The sequence below is a fragment of the Homo sapiens genome, chromosome 8 (assembly GCF_000001405.40).
Source record: "Homo sapiens chromosome 8, GRCh38.p14 Primary Assembly".
NCBI lineage: Eukaryota > Metazoa > Chordata > Mammalia > Primates > Hominidae > Homo > Homo sapiens.
The window spans coordinates 63,769,080-63,786,753 of record NC_000008.11 but is presented as its reverse complement, the minus strand read 5'-3'; the positions used below and the strand labels follow the sequence as shown (position 1 = coordinate 63,786,753).

Below are 17,674 nucleotides of genomic sequence, written 5' to 3'. Positions count from 1 at the left end.
AATAGTGGCAAAAGGGTTCTGGTTTGTATTAAATAGCTGAATATTATTGAATATTGTGAAATTCGTTCTTTCCCATTGATGTTCCAAGGGAAAATACAGTAAGGAAACATCTATGTACAATTATTCAAATATTAGGGATGTATATTCATTACATTTAATTAAAATTAAATTTTATAAATTTAAGCATTTTATAAGTATCTAATTTTTCATAAAGTATCCATGAATCCATTCTTTGGGTACAGAAAAATATCCAAAATATTAAATACCATATTTAAATACAAGAAAGATTTCTTTACAAGCATACATCCAAAATACTTTTGATCTTTCTTGTTGTTAAATACTATTTGATTAAATCCACCAAAAGTATTTTTCTAGCATAAGTTTTGCAATACAAATCAAGCCACACATAAATGAGGAACAATCCCTCAGGAAACATCAAAACATCACCTCTTACAAATAAATTACAAGAAAAAAATAGCAAGAAAGTAAAGGACACTACATACCAGCAATTATACTGTCATTAATAGAAGCTAGTCCTGAAAGATCTGTCTTCCAAGAACTCCTGAAATGAGGTGGGGATGTGTGCAATTAAAGCTGTTTCTTTGGGTCCCTACTACATTATTTATTTAATTTTTGCTTACCGTGTTTGCAAAGCACAAAAAATCAAACATTTTATAAAAATCCTTTATCTGCCTTCCAAAATGTTATAGAAAAATTATGGATCCCACTGTCACCATGCCTGGTGGTAGACATATCCTAAAATGTCTATAAATTTCTGGTACAAAATAATTCAATATTATATTATCATGCTCTCAAAGCACACTCAGAAAACAGATACTGCAGGCAGTCTCAACTCCAAAGACTACCTTACAATACAGTGTGAAGTTCTAAGTTAAGCATAGGCTGTGGCTGCTCATACTCCAGTACAAAACAGTGAAATGCCATTTGCAAAATTCCGTTCCTCTTATCCTGCTTTAACTGTGTAACCCAGTGTTATCTGAATAATGGAACAGATATTCATTAGTAAGTGCTAAGTTCTCCTGGCATATATAACACTTGAATAATATGTAGGAAGATTTCTACAGGTACAGAGTCCTTCTGTTGGGAGAGTAATGATGTAAATTCACATATGATATATTGATATTAATACTTTATCTCTAACGATAGAGACTTTTTGGCAGGAAATTGACAGTTAATAGGTAAGCAATAGGGTAAACACATTAGGTCAAAGGAAGAAACACTTGAGAAATAATTTTTTAAAAATCTGTTCTAATTAGGAGTTTTACAAATATTTCACTCTATGCAAGGTGGATTCACTTGCTGTAGTAACATTAGATTCCATACTTCCACTCCCCAGGTCTTGTGAGAGATGCCCCTTCAGTTGATGTCAGGAGCATGGATTTTTTTCTCATAATGTAAACATCTTTCAACAATGAGTGTGATTGTATTTTAATGCTATAGTACTTATTTTGTATATATCATTGCTCCTAAAATGCAAAATATCTCTTTTATATAATGCTCACCCTCCTGCCTCACCAAATGCAGTCTGTTTCAGAATGAAAAAAACTGGCAGTGCTGGATTTATTGAGGATTTGCAGGCTGATTTTCAACGGGTGCCCCCGCTAAAGAAGGTCCAAGTGTAAATCTGGCCACACACCAATGTCATGTTCACTCTCTGCCTCATCACCTTCTACTTAATCCATACTGTAACTATATGCCAGAATCTTAGCTAAGTTCTTTGGGAACTTTGTAGCCCATCTACTCTTATTCTCTCGTTTAAAGAGAAACAAAATCCAGGAAGAAGACTTAACTTGCCCAAGTTATAGTAGGTCCCAGTAAAGCTACTACTAGACAAAAAGTGGTCTGGACTCCTGCCAATGTTGTGTGACCTGTGGCATGTGGCTGTGCATGAGGGACGGTGCCTTCTTGAGCACCGGCACATCTTCTCCCAGCATCATTGTCAGGCAGGGATCACTCTTGCTGTCCTGGAGATGAGGTGTACTTCTTGACTTTCACATTGCTACCCCATTGGCTCCTATGCTGCCAAGCTGCAAGAAATTCTAGATTTCCATCTCTGAAAAATGAAAACATAAATTTAAAAATGAAAATATTTAAAAAGAGGTATAAATAAAATATAATTGCAGGAATAAGAGCATAATACTGGTGAACTGGTTTTATAAATTTAGGATACCACAACTTTGAATGTTAAAATGCTAAATTAGAAATAAAGAATCTAGTTTTGGGCTTCCTTCTAAATACCATTTAAAGTTTTGGTAAATTTCTTAAGCCCTCTGTTTCTCATTTGCCTTATCTGTAATTTAAGAGGATTGTACTAGGTGATCCTTAAGGTCTCTTCTAGGAAGAAATTTTTGTGATTCTTTATCATGCAAAGCAAAGTGGTGAATGGAGACAACCACATAACAGTATCAAAGAGTAAACAAGGCTCAATATTTTGCTGTACTTTTCTGCACATTTTAGATAAAAATTATTTTTAAATCCTAAATGACCAATGAAATCACCTCTGCTTTAACTTTACTCTGTGTGCCAATGGCTGCAGCCAGAACTCCATGTTTGCCTCATACCCACTGAATCCAGTAGACCATGTTAAGTAGAATGTTAGCTTGAGCCACGTGAAATTGGTATACACTGCACTTATATTAAAATGGACCCACATTTCCTGTGGCAGAATAAGATCAGCAATGCACACAAATATAAATAAATTGAAAACTTCAAGGCTTGTTTACATAACTGCGTTCTAGCTTATATGTGAAGGTTTTATAATTAGGAAAACTTTGCTTGTCAAAACTTGTCATTTAAAATTGGTTCTCACTTGCTCTTCCCTGTGATTTTTTTTAACAATGATTTTTAATCACCTTCTTCACCAAAAATAAGTTTAAGTGTCTCTTCAATTCATTTGCACTTCTACTTCTCCAACTTTTCCTGGCGGTTTTTTTTCTTGTATGTAGCATTAAATAGTTCTGCTCTGGTTCCCCTGTATTAACCCTGGGGCTGAATTTTGCCTTTATATGCACATACCAACACATTGATAGTAAACTTTTAGTTGAGTCCTTCAAAGAATATTTGAGCCTATTGTTAGAACAATGCATGCATCTAAAGAATAATTTGTTCACCATTTTTCACATTTCAAAAATTTTCCTGAGAACACCCAATTTTTAAAACCTCTGCTGTGAAATCTTCTATATCCCATTGAGACTAAAATGGAAATAGTTTCCCAATTAAACATTTCCCTTTACTGTATCCCCCATCCCCAAGCCGAGGCTCCTTTTTCTGTTTTTAGTCTGGCAGTGGACACTATATTCAAAATAGGAATCAAGTTAATGCCTTACAAAGGTATAGCTTCACTCTCTCTTCTCATCTTCTTCCCCTTTGATGAGATAACCAAGTAAATCCAGGTTGCTTTTTCTAATGCAGTTGTGCTCTATGCTGATGGTTTGGCAGATTTTCCCACAATATCCTTCAAATACTTTTCTGGGTATATGTTCTGCATAATTGGCTCCTTGATCCTGTGCTTATTGTTTTGTATCTGTATACCTGAACTGCATTTGGCATCCTCTGCCTTAATCACCTGCAATTCAAATCCTTTTCAATCTGATCATATTGCATCTTATTATTTGCTAAGACTTCAATTTCAGCAACACCAGCAAATTCAATGATCTTTTCTTCTCTGCACACGTCCCAAAATATGTAGGTCTTATTCCCAGAGCTCTGGAAAGCATTTGATTTCTCACCCCCTTGGAAGATGAGCTTGCCATCTATGACTGCTTTTTGTCTACTACTCTTAAATTAGTTTTCTGCTACAATATGCTATTTTACCTCCCATTCCCTTAGTCTGCTTTAGATATAAATCTTCAATGTGAAACCTTGTCAAATGCTCTTTGAAAACATTTTTTCTTATCTATTGAGGCAGCGATGCCATCCAAGAGCTCTGGAAGATTAGCTAAATATGGTCCCCCATGTGTGAGTCCTTCTTGACTATCTCCATGCAGTCTTGCTAGAATTCTCTACTGACATTCAGAGCAAGCCAAGCAGTCTCTTAAGGTAGACATTGGACAGACAAAGCAAGAAATAAGCATTTCTAGTTTTATTCCCCTACATGATTAGGGACAGAGGAATAGAGCCCAAATTTTCCGGGACTTATCTGGAGAGGACTACATGTTGGTGGAATGGGGTTTGTCACACAAGGGTCAGATGTGGGCAAAGTACAGTTGTGTGCAGCCTAGGAATTCATGCAGGCACTTGGTGTGGCCTGTCCAGGCAGTCTGGGCAGATGAGAGACTTTATTAAGCATTTACAGCATGGCAGACCCTGTTCTTTTTTTTTTTTTTTTTAGACGGAGTTTCACTCTGTCGCCCAGGCTAGAGTGCAGAGTGCAATGGCGCAATCTCGGCTCACTGCAACCTCTGCCTCCCAGGTTCAAGCAGTTCTTCTGCTTCAGCCTCCTAAGTAGCTGGGATCACAAGCACATGCCACCATGCATGGCTAATTTTTTGAATTTTTTTAGTGGAGACAGGGTTTCACCATGTTGGCCAGGCTGGTCTTGAACTCCTGACCTCAAGTGATCCACTTGCCTTGGCCTACCAAAGTGCTGGGATTACAGGCGTAAGCCACTGCGCCTGGCCAAGCAGACCCTGTACTAATCCATTTACAGTCTTTTAACCTAAGGACATTATTTTGAAATAAATATAGGCTTACAGAAAAGTTGTAGAAATAATACAGAGAATTACCAACTCTCTTTTATCTTGCTTCTCCTAATGATAGCATCTTGCATAATCATGGTATGATTATCAAAACTTAGAAATTAAATGGGTATAATATTATTAATGAAACTATAGACTATTACATTTTTTACAAGTTTTTCCCTTAATGTTCTTTTTCTGCACTAGGTTGTGCTTCATTAATCTTCTCCAATCTCTGACAACTTCTTGCCTTTCTTTGTCTGGCCTGCCACAGTCTTGTTGTTTCTCATGATCTGACACACTTTTGAAGAGTATCACTTAGGTATTTTGTAGACTGACATCCAATGGTTTTCTTTTTCCTTCTGGTGTTATCTCACAATTACCTTAAGACATTATGCAGTTTTTGGCAGTAATAGCACAGAAATAATGTGTCCATCCCAGTGAAGGGTGCATCAAGGAATAATGTTAACCTTAATCATTTGGCAAGATAGTGTCTGCCAGCTTTCTCCATGATAAAGTGACTATTTTTCCTTTTGTAAATAATAATGATCTTGAGGGAGATACTTGGAAGTTATGCAAATGCTGTGTTTCTCCCCAAACTTCACCACATTAATTTTAGCATCCATCCGTGTAGCTTGCCTACAGTTATTATTGCAATGGTTGCCTATTGGTGATTTTCAACTTCCCTCATTTCTTCTACATTTATTAATTGCAATTCTTCTGTTAAAAAAAGCATTTCTCTCTTTGTTCTCTTTTAAAGGAAAATGATTTCACATTAATATAATGCAATTATCCTTTTTATAAAATCAGAGCTTTCCTTTCTCTCCTATTCATTTAGTTATTTATTTATTTAATTATTTACATCAGTGTGAACTCATGGATATTTATTTCATTTTAAGGATGATGTATAAGACAGCCTCCAAAATTTTAACAATATGAAAGGATTAATAATTATGTGTGAGAATATCAGCAATATCTATGTAAAAAATGTATCTAGGAAAATATGTTTATAAAGTACTCAGCATGCATAGTTTATCTGATGGATAAAATGGCTTATTAGGATTACCCCAATGACAACCAGATTTGCATCAATGAATTAAAACTTTAAAAAGCACCATCATTCCTGTATCTTACCTGAAGAAATGTAGGGTTGGAGGGAGGTGAAAACAGAGATATACAGATTCAGCATCAGAAATTATCGTGTAGTTGATAATCCTAATAATCAGGAACAGGGCAGGTAGCAGAGTGTGACATTTGAGGGGCACAAAATGATGCCCACAAGCTGTCTATGGAGGAAGTCAAGTCTGGGTGGGAAGTACTGGCATATAGCAGAGAAAATTGAAACTGATAGGAGGGATGATGAAATAACTCTGCCAAACGTGCCTTGCTCACCCAAGGCTGTTATTAATAAGTTGCTGACACATAGTCACAGAACTTATTGCTGATGCACCAGGCCTTCGTAATCGACAAAACTGAATCCCAGAAGGATAGGACTGAGGGTGCTGATATAACTCCTGTCCCTGTCATACCTAGCTCGGAACTAGCACAGGCCTGGGCCTACAGGTCTGTCTGTCACCAGACCCAGTTGGAGGGAGTAGAAGACAAAATCTGGAGAAACAAAGCAGGTGGTGAGAATGCCTTTATCAAGCAGAGAATAAAGTTTTATAGCAATATTTTGTTGACCACATCTATTCATCCATTATTCCATCTATCCCTTTGCTTCTTCAACAAATATTTATGGAGTACATATTGTATTTCAAAGACAGTGATAAGCTCTGAGAGCTCACTGGTAAACAAGGCATGATCCTTGCTCTCCAGAGGTATTTATAATCTTCAACTTTCCTCTAAGCCCCTGTTTGAAAATTCCTGCCTCCAAATTATACACTCATCAATTCAAAATATTTGTAATTGAGATCTATAATGACTTCTAAACCAAGATATGTTATAGAGATATAGAGATAAAAGTCTGTGGATTTGTTCTAAAGAACCAGTCTCTTGTTATGTAGAGATAAGATAAAGTCTCTGGATCTAATACGTAAACAAAGTTGTGATGCAACGTGGTAAGTTCTATGAAGGAGATGTACACAAGATCAGTGGCAAAAGATGGAAGAGGCACCTACCTTAGACCAGAAACATCTAAGGATTTTTAATAACAAAGACATTGCCCCAAGTCCTGAAAGGAGAGTGAAGGTTTTCAAGTTCAGCAAGTATTGAAAGGATTGCAAAAGATTAGCCAGTTCTGGATGCAAGAGACAGCAAACTGCACTTATTATAGCAAGTCATAGAATGAGGCGGGATTATAGTGATAGAGCACCTGGGCAGGAGAGAGCTAACATAGGAGAGTAGAGAAGTAGACAAGGAGCAGATAATGATGCACCTTGGAAAATCCTCTACAGAGATTAAATTTTATCCTGAAAGGCACCAGAAGCTATTTAGGAAAAAAAAAAAAAAAGAAAAAGAAAAAAGAGAAGAAAAGGTGGCTTGATCAGGTTTAGATTTGGGGTAACCACCTTGGAGGCAGTGTAAAGAATAGATACATGAGATGTAACACAATAGACAAGGTAGCAAGAAAGAACACCATGAAGATAAATCAGTCAAGAAATAATCAAACAATACAGGGGGCAGCCATGATGGTATAAATAATGTGATGGATTCTGTATGCATGTATGTGGAATGTAAGAATGTAGTCACTGCATGACTGTGAAAATGGGGTACCATCCTCACAAAGAAGGAAAACTAGAGATGAAGCAGATATAAGTGAGAAATCAATTTGCACATGATGAATTAGTGGTGTCTATAAAAAAATCAGGAAATGCCCAAATCAAAGTAATAATTCTGGGGCTCAGAGAAATCTGAACCTGATATAGTGATTTGGGCAGCATGTAGTCAACAAATAGTCATTTCTCATTTACTAGATGTCACGCAGTATTGGAAATGCCATTGAATGATGTGAATCGAGTTCCTGCCATCAAGGAACTTACAAACTGAAATACAGAAGACATCAAGGTTAGAAAAATAGAAACAATCTTTGTGGGGTGGTATAAGAGATTGTTCTCAGTTCTTTATTTTCTCGTCATTTCCCGTTGTTCTCAAACTTGCATGTGCATATGAATTGCCGAATTGCCTGGGGGTCATCTTTTTGTTGTTGCTGTTGTTTTGAGACAAGATCTCACTCTGTCACCCAGGCTGTAGTCTGGAGTGCGATGGCATGATCTCAGCTCACTGCAACCTCTGCTTCTTAGATTCAAGCAATTCTCCTGCCTCAGCCTCCTGAGTACCTGAGATTACAGGTGTGCACCACCACGCCCAGGTAATTTTTGTATTTTTAGTAGAGATGGGGTTTCACCATGTTGGCCAGGCTCATCTCGAACTCCTGACCTGAAGTGATCCACTTGCCTTGGCTTCCCAAAGTGCTGGGATTACAGGTATGAGCCACTGCACCCAGTCCCCTGGGGATCTTAATAAGGCGAAGATTCTGATTCCATAGTAGGTCTGAGGTGGAGCCTGAGGTTCTGCATTTCTGACACATCCTCACATGACAATGATGAAGCTGCTGGTCTGTGGACCTCACTGTGAACAGTATGGCTGTTATCTTCGAGTCAAAGTAGCTAAGAGGCATAATTAGAAAAAAGAGTGTTAGACAGACCAAGCAAGGGAGGTGCTGACCGCTGGGACAGGAGGAGGGAATGATGGCAGGAAAAGGAGAACCAATTCTCCATGAAAGAAGGCTTGTGAGTACCAGCGACACTATTCACCACATACTATTTCACGTAAACTCCATGAATCTGCTCAAATCCAAATTCTGTTAATGAGTAAGATAAATATAACATCATAATGACAGGATCAAATTCACACATAACAATATTAACTTTAAATGTAAATGGACTAAATGCTCTAATTAAAAGACACAGACTGGCAAATTGGATAAAGAGTCAAGACCCCATCAGTGTGCTGTATTCAGGAAACCCATCTCACGTGCAGAGACACACATAGGCTCAAAATAAAAGGATGGAAGAAGATCTACCAAGCAAATGGAAAACAAAAGAAGGCAGGGGTTGCAATCCTACTCTCTGATAAAACAGACTTTAAACCCACAAAGATCAAAAGAGACAAAGAAGGCCATTACATAATGCTAAAGAGATCAATTCAACAAGAAGAGCTAACTATCCTAAATATATATGCACCCAATACAGGAGCACCCAGATTCATAAAGCAAGTCCTGAGTGACCTACAAAGAGACTTAGACTCCCACACAATAATAATGGGAGACTTTAACACCCCACTGTCAACATTAGACAGATCAACGAGACAGAAAGTTAACAAGGATACCCAGGAATTGAACTCAGCTTTGCACCAAGCGGACCTAATAGACATCTACAGAACTCTCCACCCCAGATCAACAGAATATAAATTTTTTTCAGCACCACACCACACCTATTCCAAAATTGACCACATAGTTGGAAGTAAAGCACTCCTCAGCAAATGTAAAAGATCAGAAATTATAACAAACTGTCTCTCAGACCACAGTGCAATCAAACTAGAACTCAGGATTAAGAAACTCAGAACCACTCAACTAAGTGGAAACTGAACAACTTGCTCCTGAATGACTACTGGGTACATAACGAAATCAAGGCAGAAATAAAGATGTTCTTTGAAACCAATGAGAGCAAAGACACAACATACCAGAATCTCTGGGACACATTCAAAGCAGTGTGTAGAGGGAAATTTATAGCACTAAATGCCCACAAGAGAAAGCAGGAAAGATCCAAAATTGACACCCTAACATCACAATTAAAAGAACTAGAAAAGCAAGAGCAAACACATTCGAAAGCTAGCAGAAAGCAAGAAATAACTAAAATCAGAGCAGAACTGAAGGAAATAGAGACACAAAAAACCCTTCAAAAAATTAATGAATCCAGGAGCTGGTTTTTTGAAAGGATCAACAAAATTGATAGACTGTTAGCAAGACTAATAAAGAAGAAAAGAGAGAAGAATCAAATAGACGCAATAAAAAATAATAAAGGGGATATCACCACCGATCCCACAGAAATACAAACTACCATCAGAGAATACTACGAACACCTCTACGCAAATAAACTAGAAAATCTAGAAGAAATGGATAAATTCTTCGACACATACACCCTCCCAAGACTACACCAGGAAGAAGTTGAATCTCTGAATAGACCAATAACAGGCTCTGAAATTATGGCAATAATCAATAGCTTACCAACCAAAAAGAGTCCAGGACCAGATGGATTCACAGCTGAATTCTACCAGAGGTACAAGGAGGAACTGGTACCATTCCTTCTGAAACTATTCCAATCAATAGAAAAAGAGGGAATCCTCCCTAACTCATTTTATGAGGCCAGCATCATCCTGATACCAAAGCCAGGCAGAGATACAACCAAAAAAAAGAAATTTAGACCAATATCCTTGATGAACATTGATGCAAAAATCCTCAATAAAATACTGGCAAACCAAATCCAGCAGCACATCAAAAAGCTTATCCACCATGATCAAGTGGGCTTCATCCCTGGGATGCAAGGCTGGTTCAATATACACAAATCAATAAATGTAATCCAGCATATAAACAGAATCAAAGACAAAAACCATATGATTATCTCAATAGATGCAGAAAAGGCCTTTAACAAAATTCAACAATGCTTCATGCTAAAAACTCTCAATAAATTAGGTATTGATGGGACATATCTCAAAATAATAAGAGCTGTCTATGACAAACCCACAGCCAATATCATACTGAATGGGCAAAAACTGGAAGCATTCCCTTTGAAAACTGGCACAAGACAGGGATGCCCTCTCTCACCACTCCTATTCAACATAGTGTGGGAAGTTCTGGCCAGGGCAATTAGGCAGAAGAAGGAAATAAAGGGTGTTCAATTAGGAAAAAAGGAAGTCAAATTGTCCCTGTTTGCAGAGGACATGATTGTATATCTAGAAAACCCCATTGTCTCAGCCCCAAATCTCCTTAAGGTGATAAGCAACTTCAGCAAAGTCTCAGGATACAAAATCAATGTACAAAAATCACAAGCATTCTTATACACCAATAACAGACAAACACAGAGCCAAATCATGAGTGAACTCCCATTCACAATTGCTGCAAAGAGAATAAAATACCTAGGAATCCAACTTACAAGGGATGTGAAGGACCTCTTCAAGGAGAACTACAAACCACTGCTCAATGAAATAAAAGAGGATACAAACAAATGGAAGAACATTCCATGCTCATAGGTAGGAAGAATCAATGTCATGAAAATGGCCATACTGCCCAAGGTAATTTATAGATTCAATGCCATCCCCATCAAGCTACCAATGACTTTCTTCACAGAATTGGAAAAAACTACTTTCAAGTTCATATGGAACCAAAAAAGAGCCCGCATCACCAAGTCAATCCTAAGCCAAAAGAACAAAGCTGGAGGCATCACGCTACCTGACTTCAAACTATACTACAAGGCTACAGTAACCAAAACAGCATGGTACTGGTACCAAAACAGAGATATAGATCATTGGAACAGAACACAACCCTCAGAAATAACACCACATATCTACAACTATCTGATCTTTGACAAATCTGAGAAAAACAAGCAATGGGGAAAGGATTCCCTATTTAATAAATGGTGCTGGGAAAACTGCCTAGCCATATGTAGAAAGCTGAAACTGGATTCCTTCCTTACACCTTATACAAAAATTAATTCAAGATGGATTACAGACTTAAATGTTAGAGCTAAAACCATAAAAACCCTAGAAGAAAACCTAGGCATTACCATTCAGGACATAGGCATGGACAAGGACTTCATGTCTAAAACACCAAAAGCAATGGCAACAAAAGCCAAAATTGACAAATGGGATCTGATTAAACTCAAGAGCTTCTGCACAGCAAAAGAAACTACCATCAGAGTGAACAGGCAACCTACAAAATGGGAGAAAATTTTCGCAATCTACTCATCTGACAAAGGACTAATATCCAGAATCTACAATGAACTCAAACAAATTTACAAGAAAAAAACAACCCCATCAAAAAGTGGGTGAAGGACATGAACAGACACTTCTCAAAAGAAGACATTTATGCAGCCAAAAAACACATGAAAAGATGCTCACCATCACTGGCCATCAGAGAAATGCAGATCAAAACCACAATGAGATACCATCTCACACCAGTCAGAATGGCAATCATTAAAAAGTCAGGAAACAACAGGTGCTGGAGAGAATGTGGAGAAATAGGAACACTTTTACACTGTTGGTGGGACTGTAAACTAGTTCAACCATTGTGGAAGTCAGTGTGGTGATTCCTCAGGGATCTAGAACTAGAAATACCATTTGACCCCGCCATCCCATTACTGGGTATATACCCAAAGGACTATAAATCATGCTGCTATAAAGACACATGCACATGTATGTTTATTGCGGCACTATTCACAATAGCAAAGACTTGGAACCAACCCAAATGTCCAACAATGATAGACTGGATTAAGAAAATGTGGCACATATACACCATGGAATACTATGCAGCCATGAAAAATGATGAGTTCATGTCCTTTGTAGGGACATGGATGAAATTGGAAATCATCATTCTCAGTAAACTATTGCAAGAACAAAAAACCAAACACCGCATATTCTCACTCATAGGTAGGAGTTGAACAATGAGAACACATGGACACAGGAAGGGGAACATCACACTCTGGGGACTGTTGTTGGGTGGGGGGAGAGGGTAGGGATAGCTTTAGGAGATATACCTAATGCTAAATGACGAGTTAATGGGTGCAGCACACCAGCATGGCACATGTATACATATGTAACTAACCTGCACATTGTGCACATGTACCCTAAAACTTAAAGTATAATAATAATAATAAAAAGATAAATATTATTAAGACCCTTTTTTTTACTGATTTTTTCTTTTAATGTAATATGAGGATCCTAGAAAAGGAGTGTGAAATGGAGTCAGAGTTTCAGTTTGAACCCCAGGTCTGTTTTATTGACCTGTTACATGGATGGTGTTTATTTTCTCTCTCCACGGCTCAGTTTCCTGTTCTTCTGATACCAAGATAGTACTTGCTATGGTCTATGTCCCCCCAAAATTCTCATGTTGAAATCCAGTCACCTTTGTGATGGTGTTAGGAGGTGGGGCCTTCGGGCGGGGATTAGGTCATGGAGGCAAAGCACTCAAAGATGGGATTGGTGTCTTTATAACAGAGTCCAAGGGAGCTCCATCACCCCTTCTGCCATGTGAGGACACAATGAGAAGGCTCTGTTCTGTGAAATAGAAAGTGGGCCCTCACCAGCCACCCAATCTCTCAGCACGCTGATCTTGAACTTCCAGGCTTCGGAACAGTGAGAAACAAATTTGTGTTGTTTATCAATTTATGGTATTTTTGTCACAGCAGCCTGAATGAACGAAGACAGCACTTGCTTCCTCACAGGGCGCTGTGAAGATCACAGAACTAAGGGACACTAAGATGCCTACTGCAGGACCAGGAAAAGAATCCTTGCTGCTTTTCTTATTTTGTTCATTATTTCCTTTCTTTAGGGAAAAAGCTTTTCTCCATGTGAGAAAGATGATTCACCAAGACTCTGGGCACAAAGAAGTCATGTGCTCACTATCTCTGGGATGGGGAGTCTCTCCAAGTGTGATTCTCAGGCCAGTAGCACTAGCATCACTATGAGTGTGGAAGAAATGAGATTTCATGGGCCCTAAACTTACCACTGAATCTCTGGGAATGGGGCTTAGGAAAATATATTATAGCAAGGTCTCCAGAAGATTCTGATGGATGACAAAGTCCAAGAACCACTGTTCCACATGATCCCAGCCTAAATGAGATGCCCTTATTCCAGGATTTGTGGGTTATGGGTGCCCCAGGTTCATGTGTTTCTCCTCAGCCAGGTGAGGATCTGAGATCCCAAATGGGCCTAGGAAAGAAACACAGCTTCCTCCTCAGCCCTCAGGCCAGGACTAAGGGCTGGCCAGAACTTCTTCCAAATTCCCTCACCCACATTAATGTTGTTAAATAAAACCACTTTCAGGTGATCTGATCATCACAGTTTTACACACTTATATATAACAAAGGTTTCCCTTTATATTTGTAAAAATTAATCAGAGCGGTCTCAGAGTGAAAAAGGAACACAGCTAAGTGGCTGGCCTGGGCTCCACACCAAATCTTTGACACCAATTCTTTTTCTTACTACTTAAAAGAGATTCATAACAATAGCTTCCAGATTTGATTCCTTCCTCTTTTTTCCTAAAAAGATCCCTTATCAAATCAATATATTCCATGAACCAGACCACATCTGGTGTTTATTTTGAAAGCCTGTACAATTTGGGCTCTATCTTCAGAAAATTCTCTTAGCTTTTAAAAATTACCCTGAGCACATTGTCTTTCTTCTCTCAATTAGCAAAAGGCCTGCTCGTGGCTCAGTCACCAAAAAGAAATAAAAATATACATCAGAAAAATGGAAAGCTATTCTTCTCCCTTAGCCGTTGCAGTAGAGCATAATGACATATGGGACAATGGAGAAATCTGCAGAAAGTTGTTCTGAATTTTAGCCTAAGGACAGGCCCAAATCACTAGTCAGTATTAAAACTATAATCCTAGACTACCTTTAAAATATACTTTGCCCCCATAACTGTGATGATCAAAATCCCATTTTAATCAACCCACCAAAATTTCGAATGCATAATAGAGAAAATATATAAAGAAGAAAGTTATACGACTTTTTAAATCAATGATTCTTTCTCTCTCTCTTTCTCTCTGACCCACACACAAACACACAAATGTGCACGCACAGTCACATAGATACACAACATTAAAAGAAAAAATTACCAATAGTTTTCTCCACACAAGACTAAACTCCGTTCCAAACAGTTTTAAGGCAATGGAAAGGGGTGAGAAAACTTCCTCAGAGATCTGTGAAAGCCTGCAAGATTCCTTGTGATCGAAGGACTGCTTGTTTTGAAGACTAATGAGACTAATGAGTTCTCACTTCTGCAAAGCTCTGGGAACAGGGAATGTCTGGCTCAGTTAGGATATCTGGTAAAACTTACTTTTTATGAAAACAGAGCATTGGTACCTTTTAAGACTTTATATAATAGATATTAAATATTGTGTGCATGAAATCATATTTCACATTATTATTAGGTTTCTAGAAGATAAATGACAATCTTTACATAAGAAAAGAACTTCAGTGCTTCAAATTAAAAAAGTTAACCATGTGTTTTATTAATCAACTTATATATATACTTGAAAATTAAAACAGGTATAAATGTTTCCCCCTTTAAACTATTTTTATATAAATATTTCATTTTAGAACCTCACAACTAAATTACTTCAGATAGTCGTAATATCCACAGTTTACAAATGAGTAAAATAAAACAAAAAGAAATTAAGTGAATTTCCCAAGTTTAGAAAACAAGCTAGTGTCAGAACTACGACCATAACCCAGGTTGCCTGACTCCAATTTTCAATATGATTATTCATATTGAAACTGATGAATGAAATGAAGATATTTGCCAAATATACCAGCCAGAATTGTTTCCAATCATCCCCAAATGTAACTTTGATAGTTCTAGGTAATCCTTAATTTTTGATGTCAATTACATCCTCTACTTGTGGTCTAAAATCAAATTCAGAAATTCAGACAAAAAATACACATGCAAAAAAGTAGAATAATCCTAAGGATGAATATGATACTTGAACTGAAGGGTAAGAACTAAAACTGAGAAATCACCATCTCTGGCACCATGTGTTCATTCAATTCAACCCAAATGACAAATATAATAAGTCAACTACTGCTAGGTGCAGAAAATGAAGTAGTTCCAGACTGCAAGAAACACATAATATTCTATGAATATTAGATTAAAATGAAAGTATGGAATTATATATTTTAAGCAAGCTGTAATCACTATTATATGGTGACAAATTGTTTTTGCAGTAATTAGTTTATGTTGGTAGTTACTAGATTATTGTTACGTGCTTCTAATATGTTGTTGATGTTTTCTAATGATTCAGTTGAAATAGACAAGTTATTACTATAGATTGACAATGTCAAGTAGAAAAAGTTTATAGCTATACCAAATAGATATATTTAATTTGAAATATTTAAATAATAGAAAACGTATATTTGAGCAAACTAATTATTTTGAGAATCAAAAGATTAAATAACTGACACCTTTGGAAAAAAATAATAGGCTTCGAGTGGCATTCTCTCATGCCCAATACTCTGCTGTGCTTTTTAAGGGAAATTACAGCTGCCAGAGTTAATTTAATTTAACATAATTTAATTGTTGAATTTGTATTTTGTACACATCACTGAAGGCCCTAAAGCAACAGTATGCTTTTCTTTAAATGAATCATGTTTTTTACACAGTTTAAAGAAATGATTGGTTTTGAGGACAGTAGTGAACTGCAAAGAACTACCTAAGTATGCAAAATACCATCCAGCAACGTTTCCCTGACACCAATCCACCAATGAATGCGCTAAAAAATTAAGAAGTAGATTTCACTTCTTTTACAAAACATAATTTAGTCTTAATTCCCACTAAATACAAACACCACAGTCACAGAGCTTGGATTAGACCTTATATCTCCCTCACAACTTACCTTCCCTGGCCCCGCTTTCTCCAGCATTCACCCCTGTCCACCTGCATGCTTTAACTCTCTGTGTACAAGAGCATCACATTGTCTACATATATGAGTCTCACATACAATGTATCATTTTATAAGTTGTTGTTAATATCAACAAAAGCACAATAGTCTCTAATCCCAAACAAGCTAATGGATTTACTTAAGGACACTACAATGTAATGAAAAGAAGAATGAAATACTATAAAAAATTATCTTATATCCAGCTTAGGTGATGAACAGTTGTGTGTGTGACTTCTGGATTCATCTGTTTTCAAGTCACAGCTTCTCTCTTCCTGCCTCCTTAAAAGCCCTCATCCTAACAGGTTTCCTGGTCTGAATCTCTAGGGTTCCAGAATAAAAAAGCAGTGCCTGCCCTTGAAAATACTTGCTCCTCTTCCTTTTTGAAGGCAGAATGATATACCTAAAAGCAAATGATTCTGTAATAAGATAGAGTTGCAAGACATACTTAAGTCCTTTTAAATACACGTATAATGTATTTTTCAAATCTTACTGTCTTTTAGGAACTATGTACTTAAGCATTCCTTCACACTAGTAAAAGCAGCTACCATTATTACCTGCATTTTACTGATGTGTTACTTTCTGAAAGTTACAGTCACACTGTAAGTAAAGACAAGAATTTTTTTGATGGTTGTGATCAACACTTAGCTGGTTTTCAGTGGGACGTTCAGCTGTTATATCTTGTTCTTTGTGCTGCCTGACTTCTACGTGGACATTCATTTAGATAGCCATGAATATACTTGATTGCCATATACAAAACTCATGCTGAATTCTGCTCTCATGTTTCCTCTTGTGACAGGGAAGTTACTTTGATCTCCTGGCTTTCGCTTTCAGACAAATGCTTTGCCTTTCTCAGGAACATAAGGAAATCATAGCCTCTCTTCTCTGTTCTGTAGGAGACTTGGTGAAAGTTCCTTAGGCCTCTCTGACACTGACACATACAGTCATTTTTACTTTCCATGCCATGATCGTCATAGGATAGAATTCCCAGAAGTTCTAGAAACAAGTTTGATTGTCCATTGTCCAGTAGTAGAACAGGCTTGGTCTATCTTACCCCCAGGTATCCAAATTTAGTAGAAGTTCTACTGACAATTCCTCTAGAAGCTGAACAGTGGAATGCGGTGGGCAGGAAGCCTCTTTCTCAAAGAATTTTATCAGTTGCTGTCACTTGTGGTGGTGCAGGGGAGCTGGCACAGCCTGACTTGTGAAAGCCAATTGTTAGCATCTCTTCCCAACTTCACAATGAGTGCTGGCACATTGGTGGCTTGAAATCAGCCATGATAAGAGTATTTATACTACAGAATTGAAAACATTACAAATTGC

The 17,674-nt window shown here is 37.4% G+C and overlaps 1 long non-coding RNA gene across 1 annotated transcript; it reads right to left on the bottom strand.

Annotated features, from left to right (window-relative positions):
* Positions 1 to 1,252: 1,252 nt before the first annotated feature.
* On the bottom strand, positions 1,253 to 17,324 carry LINC01289 (long intergenic non-protein coding RNA 1289). Its single transcript, NR_038875.2, has 3 exons — positions 16,909 to 17,324; positions 5,832 to 8,305; positions 1,253 to 2,074 (listed from the first exon to the last, which is right to left on the bottom strand). It is a non-coding gene; the product is annotated as a long intergenic non-protein coding RNA 1289 (long non-coding RNA).
* Positions 17,325 to 17,674: the final 350 nt, after the last annotated feature.